Below are 14,416 nucleotides of genomic sequence, written 5' to 3' on the forward strand. Positions count from 1 at the left end.
GCCTATGGGATAACTGGTCCATTAGCACCCTATGTATGGGCTTTCTCTCCTCCCTGTCTCACTTCTCCAACCCCTCCCTTGTGCTTCCTGGATTCACCTCCCAAATAAACTACTTGCACCCAAGTTCTCATCTCAGGGTCTGGTTTGGGAGGAATTCACACTAAGGCAGTGTGAAGCAGCTGGGTGTCATACAATAGGGAATGGTGGGGACTGTGGTGAACTTCTGTGCTCCCTAAAAGGTAGCAGCTGACACTCAGCTCCTGGCTGGTGGTGGCCAGGTTGCCATCTCCTTCAGTTTTTCAAGAGTTGCATCCAGATTTTCACGTGGTATCTCTCAACTTTTTAATGTCATAATAAATTCAAAATAAATTTAAAATACTATACAGGGCAAAGAAAGCACATCAATAGCATAATCTGCCATGTAGACCATAAATTTGCTGCCCCTGGTGAGCTCAATCAAGATGTGTAGAGGCATCATGGTGACTCCAACCCAGACTTACCCAGCAAGAGAGTAGGCAGGGGAAGCTTCCTGAAGGGTGTGATCTTTGAGTGGGGTCTTGAGAAGGAGAGAGATAGGGGAAGAAGATGGGAAAGGGCAGGAAGGGAACATAGGCAGGGAAGAGAAAATGGCATGAGCAACATGTGGAGAATTAAAAAGGGGGTCGGAGCTCTGAGGGATGAGGAAAGAGACCATGGATTGTCCAGAAAGATGAGAGAGATGAGTAACAGTCCACTAGATGCCAGGCATGGTATTAAGCGCTTACGTGCATTTTTCATTGCATCTTCCTAACAGGAGTTGAAATTATTATTGTTCACTTTACATACAGAAAAACTGAGACATAGAGAGGTTATTTGCTCAAGGTCACACAGTCAGTCAATGGAGGAACCTGGGCTGGATCAGAGCCTTCTTATGCTTAGGTGGAATGGGGCCAGATCATTCAACACCTCACGTATTACTCTCAGATCTTTACATTTTATTCCAACCATGGTGGGGAGACCCTGGAGAATTTAAGCAGGGAGGGTAATGTCACTATGACCACAGCAGGGGGAAGGCAGAGGGTAGGAGGCAGAATTGGGGGCGATTGCATGAATCAAGGTCAGAAATGATGGAGTCTCAGCTAAGTCAGTGTTGGGGCATGAAATCAAGGAGAGAGATTCAGGTGCAGAGGACACTAATGTGTTCTATTTTGGACACGTCGAGCTGGAGGTATCTCTGCAGCATCTCAGGGTCAACTCTCTGTAAGCAGATGGTTCTATGGGTCTGGAAGGCAGGAAGAGACTCGGAGTCATTAGGACACAGGCAGAAGACATGGCTGTGGGTGATGTTTCCATCAAGGAAGGTGGGAAACGGAAAGTTGCTGAGACAGAATCCTGGGGAGCTGCAAGGTTTCAGGGTGAAAGGATGTAGAAGAATGCACAAAGAACACCAAAAAGTAACAGCCAGAGAAGCAGAAGGGGACCAGAAGAGAGCAGTTCCATGGGCCACTGAGACAGGAGAGTTCCCAAAAGGCAGCATCAAATTCTTCCAAGATCAAGCAAGAAAATGGCTGAAAGTGTCCATGAGATTTGGCAACAAGGAAGCCATTGGTGACCTTAGCAAGGGTTACTTCAGTGGGGACAGAGGCAGATTGGGGTGAGGTAAGGAGTGAACAGGATGCGGGGGTGTGGAGACGGTGAGAGTAGAAATGATTCTACAGGCCGCCTCACCCAGGGAGAGACCTAGGCAGGCTCCAAGGCCGTTCAGCCTTCAGTTCACTTGTGCAATGCTGCATGTGCAATGGGTATTTAAAAACGTGTATTTCTGCTTTCTAATTCCAGTAGGTAAACAAAAAGAAAAGAAAAGAAAAGAAAATTTGTGTTTGTGCGTCAGCACTTCCTCTGCTTGGCTAAGTTTTGGGAGAACACCTTCTCTCCTTCTTTTACTCTTCTTTGACTTTCTCTCTCTTGGAAAGTGCTTACACCTGCTTAAGAAGTGAGTGTCCGCTCTTGATCCCTTTGAGTCCTTAGATGATTTTAAACCTTCATTAGAGATGAGGGGGGTGGGCAGGACCCGTATCTTTCTGCTTCTCCCTTCAGGTAAGTAATCTAGAGTGGCACATGCGCACTGATCATCAGTACCCACCTGCCAGAGTCACGGAGCCTTGCCATCCTCCATTGTAGACTGCGTCACGAGGTTGGCAGGACACCTCCACATCCAGCCTGGGAGAGGCCGCTGCCACCTGCTGCACTGCTCATGCCTGACCCAGCAGCCGCTGTCATTGGCTTGAAGAAGGAAGCTAAGGTGTTAGAAAATGTAATGCAGTGATTCCTGTCATTTGCTGTTTTGCTCATGAGTGCGGGAAAAACAAGAAGTAGAGCCGATGACAGGTGGGACCCTCTAATCGGGCTGGTATAGGGGGAAGGTGGATTTATCTAAGTCCATCCTTTTAGGATAGTCCTCAGTACTTCAGTAGCTGACACTTGAAACCAATTATCTAGGGATATCTTCATACAGATTCATTCATTCCATTCATTCCTCCAACAAATCTTTGTTGAGATCTATTGCAGACTTTCTTCAGTGGCTACAAATTATTTGACGGTCTTCCCATAAGTAACTGAGGTATAGATTCCCTAGTAACTACTGTGGCCAGCAGAGGATTGTGGATGTTCTGCTTTGTGTCCAGGGCTACACAGCTTTAGCCTAGTTCCCTGAGAGGTTATGCTACCTTGTAAGCCATCTGACTGTCCTGAGGTTGTCAGGCTGGGGCCGCCTACAGGTCCCAGTCCACATTCCCAACTGATCCCAGTGTCTCAACCATTCCAGCCCAGGGCCCAGCCAAGAGAGGGAGGTAGACTTCTTGGAAGTAGACCCTCCAGTCCCAGCTCTTCAAGTCACCCCCAGCCAGTCCAGTTTTCATGAGGTCTCAGACATCATGAAACAGAAACATGCTATTCCTCCTGGGCCCTGCCTGAATCTGCAGGCATAATAAAATGCTTGTTGTTTTAGGCCTCTACGTTTGAAAAGGCCATTATGCATAATAGATGGCTGAAATAAGAACCTACTGTCATTAGGTGCTACTCCAGGCCCTGCAGATAAGCAATAAGCAAGGTAGCACAGTCCCTCCCTATGTGGGGCTAACACTCTCACTGGGGAAGACAGATAATGAAAACAAACATGGAAGCAGTGACTCAATGCTTTAGAAAAATAAAACCAGGGACCATGAGAGTGACTGTTGGACAATCTTGGGGAGTGGTAGAATCAAGGAAGGTCTATCTCAGGAGGTGATATTTGGGCTGAAACCTTAATAAGAACAGGAGGATCAGACAGAACAGCAAGAACGAAGGTGCTAAGGACGCTGGAGGAGCGGACAGCAGTTGGGGAAAGTGGAGAGTGGTGAGGAAGGGCCTGAGTGAAATGAGATGAAGCTGGAGAGGCAGGTGGGATACCCTGCAGGGCCTGTGGGCCAGGCAAGGAGGCCTGTACTTTAAAGAGATGGCCCTGGCTGATGTGTGGGGGATGAGTGAGGGTGGAAGCGGGGACACTGGTAAGGAGCCTCATGTGGTAATCCAGGTCACAGACAGTGGTGGCTGGGACGAGAAGGTCATAGTGGAGACAGGAAAAAGATGAAGTGACACTGTGTGTTCAGGTGGAGCTGACAGCTCTCATGAATGGATTGACTGCAGAAAGCAAGAGATGGAGAAGAATCAAGGACAGCTCCTAGGTTTTCCTATGTCTAATAATTTTGGATTGTATTCTAGGCATTGTGGATGCTATTTTGCAGTGACTCTGGATTCTATTATATTTCTGAAGAGCACTGATACTTGTTTGTCTGCTTACTTGTTTTATAAAGCCATAAACTTGGCTCTCTCTACTCCAGCTGCCAACCCTCCCTCTCAGTCAGCAAGTTGAACCTCAGCTCAGTTCTTTTAGTCTTGGCTGGGCTATTGGAAGTCTTGCACACACGTACACAGTTGAGGGATCAGCCAGAGATTTGGACAGAGAAAACACACAGAATTCAGGGCTTCTCCTCACTGGTCCTCACCTTTCTGGGGCTCACCTCTCACTTTCTAGCAGCTGTCATTGCCCAGACTCTAACTTTTGACTCTCCAAGCCAGAAAGATGGCAGGTTTTCTTTTTTCTTTTCTTTTTTTTTTTGGAGATGGAGTTTTGTTCTTGTTGCTCAGGCTGGAAAGCAATGGCGCAGTCTTGGCTCACTGCAAACTCCGTCTCCTGCCTCAGCCTCCCAAGTAGCTGGGATTACAAGTGCTCACCACCACACCCGGCTAATTTTCAAATTTTTAGTAGAGACGGGGTTTCGCCATGTTGGCCAGGCTGGTCTTGAACTCCTGACCTCAAGTGGTCTGCTGCCCTCAGCATCTCAAAGTACTGGGATTACAGACATGAGCCACTGAGCCCAGCCGACGGCAGGTTTTCTACTGGAATTTTAACCACCCTGCATAGTTCAGGCCGAGAACCGCTTTCAGGCTAAAAGTCATAAAAACAAAATAGCAACCTCTTTCTATGCCATTCCTTTCTTCCAAGTGCAGAGCCTCCTCCTGTTTCTGCCTGCTTTTGTTCACTCTGTAATGCCTTTGGGCAGTTGTTATTTTTATTTTGAGATAATTACATAATCACATGCAATTGTAAGAAATAATACAGAGATACTCCCTGTACTGTTTACTCAGTTTCGCCCAGTGGCAACATCTTGCCAAACTATAGTACAACATCACCACAGGATACTGACACTGACATAGTCCAGATACAGAACACTTCCATCTCCACAGGGACCCCTCATGTTGCCCTTATACAGCCACACCCACTTTCCTCCCACATTACTTTTCCTTTAACTCCTTGTAACCACTAATATGTTATCCATTTCTAAAATTTTATTATTTCAAAAATGTTATATAAATGGAATCATACAGTATGTAACCTTTTGGGGAATTTTTGTTGTTGCTTTTTTCTTAGCATGATTTCCTGGAGATTCATTGAAGTTGCATGTATCAATGGTTCTTTCCTTTATTTCATGGTGTGGATGTGCCACAGTTTAACCATTCACTGGATGAAGTCCCTCTGGGCTGATTTCAGCTTTTGGCTACTATAAACGAAGCTGCTATGAACATTCATGTCCAGGTTTTTGGGTGAGCATAAGTTTTCATTTCTCTGGAATAAATACCTAGGAGTGCAATTGCTGAGTCACATGGTAGTTGAACGTTTGGTTTTTTAAAGAAATTGCCAAATTATTTTCCAGAGTGGTTGTACCATTGTAAAGACCACCAATCATGAATGAGTGATCCAGTTTCTTGCATCCTCACCAGCATTTGGTGTTTGTCACTAATTTCTGTTTTAGCCTTTCTGATAGGTGTGTAATGATATCTTCTCATGACTTTAATTTGCATTTGTCTAATAGCTAAAAATATTGAGCATTTTTTCATGTGCTCATTTGCCATCTGTATATCCTCTTTGTTTAAGTGTCTGTTAGTTTCTGAGCTTTGTTTTTGTAAAGGAAAACAACATATACAATTCTAATAGATATGTATCCTACAAACCTTCACATTTGTAGTCTGTCTGTCTTCTTCCAGTGAGGCTGCCACAGTCAGGACATTTTGCCCTAGGGTTCAGGAGATGATTGTGAGTCTAAATCACCCTCAGGTCAGTGAGGATGGCCAGGAAGAGAGGAAGGAGCAGGAAGACTTTCTCGTGTCCTTAAGCAGAGGCCTGCGGATAAGATTTATCCTCTCTCTCTCTCTCTCTCTCTCTCTCTCTATGCCATTCCTCATTTTCTGATGGTAAACAGAAGCTCCCAGCCCAGTTGCCGGTTCCCATCCCTTCAATATCTTCCTTGGGCATCCTTTCCCACAGCCCCTCTCAAAGTCACAAAAGCTGACCCCATTGTATTGCACATAGTAGATTATCCATAAATATTTGGGTTTGGTGGATAGAGTTTAGTTGGAATTCCTGGTGTGGTATCACAGAAATCCAGTTGGAGATTGCCTGGTCCAGAGGCAGAATCTGTCAGAAAGAGTCATTTCTGAGATATATTAAGTCAGTGTGGGAAGGACAGGAGCAAGCCTTGGTCTCAGGCAGCTGGAATCTGCAATCCAACCCAGCCACTACTCTCTCTGTTTCTCATCTCTGTCCTCTGCTCATCAGCTTTTATGCTCTGTGACTGCAGATTGCTAATTCCACAATGCAAGGAACATGGTGCCACCAGCCCTGGAGCCTCCCAGAAAGAGGGCCCGACCCTGTTCCAGTATTTAAAGTCCTGGGGAGAGCAAGGACAGGCTCAGTAGTGGCAAAGGGGTGAGGCAACACGATGGACAGTTTATCAAATTGTGGGAGTGGGAGAGCAAGAGGTCCTCAAAGTGGGCAGGCCTTGCAGACTCAACCATACCTGTTTGCTCCGAGTTTACTGCAAACATTGAAGGTTCCAGTGAGACCCTTGGAAGGCACATGAAGCTCACTCTCCCAATCTGGAAAGTCTCCTTGACTCCAGCCCAAATCTTACCCAAGTTTCGAGGGGCCATTCAGGTCAGCCTCCTCTGTGACCTCCTTCCTGGGGTCTAACTCTCCATGACGTTCTCTGTGAGTCAGAATAACACTATCTGCTGTAACAAAGAAGCCCCTCCCTTGCAGTGGGTTAACACAATACAAGTATTTTCCTGACTCACTTAAAAGTCTAATGTGTGTGTTTGAAGTTAATCTGGGGATGGAAATTCTCCTCTGATCTTGTGGCTCCACATTTCCCCATTTCAGAGTCTTCTGCATTTAGCCAGGAAAATGGGGAAAGATAGTGGAGAAGACCCTTTCTTAACCACCTCACTCCCATTCACATTCTAGTGGTGGGAGCGGGTCACATGGCCATGCAGGGTGCAAGGTGTGATGGGAAATGTAGTTCCTGGTGCACAACTGCTTCCCAGCCATGATGTTATACCACATAAGGAGGGATGTATGTTTTGGTGGACTGTTGGCTGACTTGCCACCTCACCTCCTGCCCACACAGTCAGCTATTCATGGACGAGTGCCTCGACCTCTGTCCCTGCTTGCTAGTCTCAGTGTCCAAGACACCTGAGTCTTTGCCTCTTGTTACACCCAGAGACCCAGCAGGCCAATGGATTCCAGAAAGAAGATGATTGGCTTAACCCAATACCTTTTAAAAACCAAATTGGCAAGCTACGGCCTGCAGGCCAGCTGCTTATTTTTGTAAATTAGGATTTATTGGAACCAGGGCAAGGATGAGGGTGAGGTGAGTGAGGCAGGATTAGGCCAGTGCAGGATCCAATCCCATCTTTATTTAAAATTTTAACATTTTGCTCATTATGGATTATTTTTTGCATTCATTTTGATTTTTTAAAATATTACTAAAAATGTTATTTATCTTGATTACCAAGTTTCTTGGCGCCCCCTTCAATGCTGCACCAAGGCCTCTTGCCTTACCCAGCCCTGGCTTCACCCTCCCATCACGGTTTCCTACTCTGAATGCCTGGCATTTGGAAATGTGCCCAGCTCTGTCTGAGTGAGGCTGGTGCGGTAAAAAGAGGTTGCTGCTTTATAAGCAAGAGGAGAGCACAGGCCGCCACAGGTGCAGGGCAGGTGTCTGAGGGGAGGGGCTGGGCCAGAGGCTGCTGAGAAACCCACCATGGGCCTGCTGCTTGTCCTGGAGAAGAATTACTCTCCTATAGCCTCCTTTCACCCAGTCCCTTCACCGCGCTTGGCCAGCAGGACCAGAAGGCCTTGGCTGTTTGAGGACTGCGGTGGAAAGGTCCTGGTTGGCTCCTAGGAGGCCTCCCTCCTCCTTCCAAGGCTCCTGCTGCCTCTGAAGTAGCCAGAGGCCTCACTTATCTCATTTCCTTGGAGTTATGTTGAGTTGAGCTCTGTGAACCTTTCAAATTGAAGTCACATCTCACAATTATTTGGTAGAAAAACACAATTGTCACCTATTTGAAGATACAGATTTTTTCCCAGAGCTATCTGGTTTCACTTCGCAGGCCCCAGGTTTCATTCCTTTTTGCTTTGTAGCTGAATTTGTTTTTGTGGTTCTCTCTCTCTCCCTCTTTTTGTCTTTGTCTTTCGCAGTGTGTCTCCTCCTCTCTTAATCTCTCTCCCAGTCTTTACTCTCCTCTTTCCCTCTTTTTCTTTCTCCCTCCCTCCTTCTCTTCCTCTTCCCTTTCTTTCTCTCATTCTGCATTTCTATCAGCCATAATCTCTCTCCACCTTCCCGGTCTTTCATCTCTGTCTTGGCCTCTCTCTCCCTCTTGCTCTTTCTCAGTCTCTCTGTCTCTCACTCTCTCTGTCTATCTCTCTTGCTGGGTTTGGGTGGTGCAGACAACAAGGCACCAAGTAGGACCTCAGGGTTCTGTCTCCTCCCACCACCATGATCCCATTTCCTTCCCCTCCCTACAGCGCTGGGGAGGAAGAAGGAATGTGGTCCTGCAGGATCCAGGCTCTGGCAGTCCTATCTGTGAAGGTCATTGGGAGAAGAGGAAGTGGCAACTTTCTTTAATATGAAAAAAAGAATATTTTCCAACCAAACCATACACCTTGTACCCCAAATGAGAACGACCGAAAGCCTTAGAAAACCACAGCCTGCCCTTTCCCCAAGAGAAAACTAACCATGTTCTATGAGTTAATGGAAGTTGACCTCCACATGCGCTCACCCCATGCCCCTGCAATTCTCTCCTGGACATAATTAAGGGGAAAGCATTTTGGCCGGGCACAGTGGCTCACGCCCATAATCCTAGCTTTGGGAGGCTAAGACATGTAGATCATGTGATCAGAGTTCAAGACCAGCCTGGCCAAGATGGTGAAACCCCGTCTCTACTAAAAATACAAAAATTAGCCAGGCGCAGTGGCAGGTGCCTGTAATCCCAGTTACTCGAGAGGCTGAGGCAGAAGAATTGCTTGAACCCTGGGGGGTGGGGGTTTCAGTGAGCTGAGATCGCACCACTGCAATCCAGCCTGGGCAATAGAGTGAGACTCTGTCTCATAAAAAAAAAAAAAAAAAAAAGGAAAGCATGTCTATGGTTACCAAAAGACATAATCAAGAAGGCTCACAGTGGCATTAGTCACAGTTGCCTCAAATCAGAAACTACTCAAATGTCCATCAATGATAAAATGAATAAATACATTGAATAAATATGGCTCACGCCTATAATCCCAGCACTTTGGGAGGCCAAGGCAGGCGGATCACGAGGTCAGGAGAGTGAGACCATTCTGGCTAACACAGTGAAACCCCGTCTCTACTAAAAAAAAAAATACAAAAAATTAGCCAGGCGTGGTGGCGGGCGCCTGTAGTCCCAGCTACTCGGGAGGCTGAGGCAAGAGAATGGTGTGAACCCAGGAGGCGGAGATGGCAGTGAGCCGAGATCGCGCCACTGCACTCCAGACTGGGCAACAGAACGAGACTCCATCTCAAAAAATAATCATAATCATAATCATAATAAATGAACAGATAATCCATCTCATTTGATGGAATATTCTCCAGTAATAAGAATAAACAACCTAAAACTCTACACAAAGACATCGTGATGAGCAAAGGAAGCCAAATACACAGAGAGCACTTGCTGGGTGCTGCCACATTTATAAAGTGCAAAAGGCAAAGTGAATCTCTGCTGTCCACTGGCGGCACTGCCTCAGCAGGGCACAGAACAGACAGGGTGTGAGGGGCTGCTGGGGGCTGGGATCACAGTGGTTCTTGACCCGGGTCCTGGTTACCTAAGTGTGTTCAGTTGGTGAGAATCTGTCAGGCTTTATACTATGGCATACATATGCTTCAGGCTACTTCCAATCATAGTAGAAGGCGAAGGAGAGCTGGCGTGTGCAGATCACATGGCGAGAGGGGGCAAGAGAGAGGAGGAGGAGGTGCCAGGCTCTTTTCAACAACCAGCTCTCTCTTGGGAACTAAGAGTGAGAACTCACTCACTCTCACCAAGCCATTCATGAGGGATCTGCACCCATGACCCAATCATCTTCCCCCAGGCCCCAGCTCCAACACTGGGGATCACATTTCAACATGAGACTTGGTGGGGCCAAACAACACCAATCCAAACCATAGCAGCTACTGCCTGGCCTCTTGGACTTCATGAGAGGTGAGGAGGTATAAGAAGGGTGCAGGTCCATCAGGCTCTACAGCAACCCCCAAGCCTCCTGAATGTCCCCCAGGGCAGGGGCAGCCTTCGAAGATGACCCGCCTCCCTGACCTGTCTCATACCAGAGTAGCTGAGCCACATCCGATGGGGGCACTGTTCTTGTCTCCAGGACTCAAACATTTCCCCAGCCACAGTCTAGCCCAGGCATATGCTGCAATGGACTCCAGGCCAGGCCCAGCCAAGGCTGGGTAGGTGAGCCCTGCCCCTCCAGGGAATGGGTCATAGGCCCCTGAGGAGGAGCTGAGACAGGCCAGCTGTCACCAGCCTGCCAGGGCTGCCATGCTCTGAGGCCAATGGCACTCCTCCGACTGGCTCAGCTCAGCCCTGTTTCTCCATGCCACAGTCCTCACAGCCTCCGGAGAGGCCAGTAGGTCCCAGAAACTGTACCAGATGCTGCAATACACCCCTCTCCTCACAGCGCTGACATATAAAAAGCAAATGAATAAATAAGACACTGACAATTTGTGACAATTTAACAGGATAATAATAGATACACCCCTAATATCTGTAGATGATAGACAAGCGATCCAATGGATGTTACCGGTCCAAAGCCCACACCCTTTCTATGCTCCGAACTGTGTCTGAAGGAGCTTTAATACAACCCAAGTTCACAGCCACCTCCCACCACCCTCCCCTCCACGGGTACACATGCCTGTGTTGCAATCTGCCCATGGGAAAACAGACCCAGAGAAAAAAGCCCTGTGCAGCCCTGGGGGCAGGGCTGGGTGGTCTGGGTCGAGTTAGGGTCCCAGGGCTCCAGGCTGTGACCAGATGGAGCATGGGCTCTGGGTGAAAATCTCCCATCAGCCCCATTTGTTCCTTCCCTGGGGGGAAGGGAATGGCCGAGAGGGCAGGAGTAGGGCTCGTGGCTTTAATGGCAGAAATGATTATATTAACTGGGATAGGGACTACCTGGGGGAGGAGAAATGCCAGGTAGGTGCCAGCTATGCAAAGACCCAGAGGAAGAACATTCCAAGAGGATGAAATGGCAGGTGCCAAGACCCTGAGGCAGGATGGAGTTTATAGAAAGACGGCCAGTGTGGCTGGAGCAGAGTGGGGTAAGCAGGGAAGATTATGCAGTTCTCAGAGAAATGAAGGTTTTATTTTCAGAGAAGTGGGGACCTACTGGATGGGTTTTGGTTTCTTCCATATTGAGGTATAATTAACACACAATAAAATGCACCAGACTTAAGTGTACAGATCAACACATTTTACATATATATACACCCATGAAGGCACCATCAGAGCAAGACAGAACATCTTCAGTCCCCTCAAGGGCTCCCTATGTCCCCTCTTAGTCAAAAGCTCCCTCTAGTATAACCACTGTTCCAGTATCTATCATCGAAGGCTTGCTCTGCCTGTTTTTGACCTTTGTATAAATGGAAACGTGTGGCTATGTGCTCTCTTACATCTGGTTTCTTTCTCTCAACATAGTATCTGTAAGTCACCCATTTTACCACGTGTAGCAGCATGTACATCATGGAAATGTACATGTCATACCTCTTAAGTGCTATGTATATATCCTGTTGTGTGAATATATCCCAACGTATTTATCCAATCTCCTGTTGATAGGCAGTTGGGTTGTTCCCAGTTGGGGGCCATAGTGAAAGATGTGGCTATGAATATTCTTGGATAAGTCTGTGGGTGGTCACGGTGCTGTCTCTGTGGGGTATACAGCCAGGAGTGGAACTGCTAGGTCATAGAGTAGATTTACGGTGACCTTAGTAGATTCTGCTAAAGAGTGTTCCAGAGTGGTTTGAGAATTTGAAGGAGAGTTCCCAGTGGGAAGCTGGTATGACCTGATTTATATTTAGGGAAGATCAGCTTGGCACTTTGTAGAGAAGAGCTGTAAGGGGGTCAGAGTGGAGGTGAGGAGACCAGCTAGGAGGTGATGGAAGGGTCTGGGTAAGCCATGACGGAGGCACAGCCGTGGTTGGTAGCAATGAAAGGAAGAAAAGATGTCACCTGCCCTTCAATAGGAAGGACACAGGGATAAGCTCAGTTGTCCACAAGGCCGAGCACAAATTAGTCCTTGAACCCAGGAATTCTAGCATAACCCAGCATTCCTCCCCACAGGTCTCTCTTGGGTTCGGGGTCCTGTCTCCTCTCTAAAACTCTTTTAACTATGGGATGGCAGCCCCCAGGGCTCACAGAGCTGGTATAGGAAGCTTCAGAGAGAATAAAAGACCTACTGGAGACAAGCAAACCTCTCTTTCCCCCCAAGCCTGGAAGTCACTTGAAAGTCCACTTGTTTTTACACATTTTTTCTTTTGAGACAAAGTCTCGCTCCCTCACCCAGGATGGAGTACAGTGGCGCTATCTTGGCTCACTGCAGCCTCGACCTCCCGGATTCAAGCAATTCTCCTGCCTCAGCCTCCTGAGTAGCTGGGATTACAGGCGCCTGCCACTACACCCGGCTAATTTTTGTATTTTCAGTAAGAGACAGGGTTTCGCGATGTTGGCCAGGCTGGTCTTGAACTCCTGATCTCAGGTGATCCACCCGCCTCGGCCTCCGTAAGTGCTGTGTTTATAGGCACGAGGCACCTCACTCAGCTTTACACATTTACTGATAGCCCCTGCTCAGCTCCCAAAATGCTCCATCTCCTTGGCTGCCCCTGTGCTCTCTCTGGGGTTGGGATCCCAGTAGCAAACACTCATTGTTTCCTTAAGTGCTGTTCACAGTCTGCACCAAGGGCACGTGCTGCACACTGGGAAGAGAGGCCATATCATGGGCTCTTTTCTGGCACCTGTGAGCAGCCAGGTGTAGGGTGGGGCAGGGTAGTCCTCCTCTGCCCTCAATGCACAGAGCCTGGGAGTCCAACAACATGTGGGCTTCCTCTAGAGCCTGGTCAAAATCCTCCTAACATTGGGACCAATCTGGAAATGAACTGCCTTTACTGCTCATTATGTAGTAGTGATGTCTTTCTACGTGGCTTCGTTCTTTCTTATCCTTTGGATCCTCTGGAGGTGTCAGTGCAGGGTATTACCAGGGCTTTCTATGAAAGGGCCAGAAATCCAGTTCTAACTGGTGTAAACAGCAACACAATAAATGTGTTGGTTTATATATCCAAGAAGCCCAGGGGTGTTGGCTTCAGGAATAGCAGGCTACAGGTCCTCAAAAATATCAGAAAGCTCCTACTCTCATTTTCATCTCTTCTTTTATCTCTTTTGGCTACACTTTCAAGCTACTTTTCTCCATGTGATAAAAGGCATGGCCACCAACAGTACAAGCATGTCTTGCCTGCTTATTAATACCGGTGGAAAGGGAAGGGCTTCTTTCCCAAGCAGTTCCCAGGAGTGGCTTCCCTTAGTCTAACATGGGTTGTGTGCTCAGCCTGAGCCAATCACTGTGGCCAAGGGCACTGATGTGCTGAGTTGCCACCCGGGAGCCAGAGGGTGCACTAAGAGAGAAGGAGGGGTTCCCCCAAAGGAAACTGGGTACTGTTTCCAGACAAAGGAGAAGTGGTAAATGAACAGCCCAAAACAGCAGATTTTAAAAATTAAAAATAAATAAATAAATAAAAATATGGTGTGAAATGATGTGGCTAGAAAAAAATAAAATAAAATAATATCAGGTGGTCTTAAGCTTTCCTTTCAGGAAAGTTGCTGATAAATCATTCGAGGCAGCCTAAGAAGAATGGATGGATCAATAAATAAACAGATGAAAAAGGGAACAAATATTTATGGGTCACAATATTTTAAGTTACTTGAGAGCCAGAGGGATGCATTTTCCAGGGCCTAGCCCAGGGCTTGGCACGGTATTAGATCCAGGGCAACTAATGCCTGCCATTCACATGGAAGACATGATCAGGAGATAGCTGTTCTCTTCCCTGCTGAGTCCAGACCAGCCTCAGAATCCTTCTCAACACAGCACTCCAGATGAAACTAACTGCCATCCTTTTCAAACGCATCACCTCCCCTCAGAACCTGCCCCAGTCCCCTAGAAAGTGCTCAACAAAAGCTTATTGACATGGACAAGGTATCCACTGTGGTCCACACCCTGTGACAGGCACATTTGAACACCATCAGCTTTCTAATGGAAAGCTATCTGCCGCTGCATCCCTTTCTCTGGCAATCTTACCTTTGCCTAAGCTCTGATAAGTGTTGACAGCATCTGTTTCAAGAGTGGGTTTGCACACGTTTAAAATGGCAACTGTCTCTGTACCCTCAGAGTCCCAGGGAAGACCTTACAGCCATGGTGTGGTGGTACCTGTGCAACAACCAGCTCTCAAAAAAAAAAAGTCCTATTTATAGCATCTGCCAATTTCCATGATATACAGGTTCCTAC

The 14,416-nt window shown here is 47.3% G+C and overlaps 1 annotated feature.

Annotated features, from left to right (window-relative positions):
* Nucleotides 9,833-10,334: an enhancer, noted in NCBI's record as "H3K4me1 hESC enhancer chr20:17745451-17745952 (GRCh37/hg19 assembly coordinates)". NCBI's record gives its function as "activates a minimal SCP1, AML or CMV promoter by ChIP-STARR-seq in naive H9 embryonic stem cells {active_cell/tissue: H9 hESC(naive)}" and the evidence as "EXISTENCE:reporter gene assay evidence [ECO:0000049][PMID:30033119]".

This window comes from Homo sapiens, chromosome 20 (genome assembly GCF_000001405.40).
Source record: "Homo sapiens chromosome 20, GRCh38.p14 Primary Assembly".
Classification (NCBI taxonomy): Eukaryota; Metazoa; Chordata; class Mammalia; order Primates; family Hominidae; genus Homo; species Homo sapiens.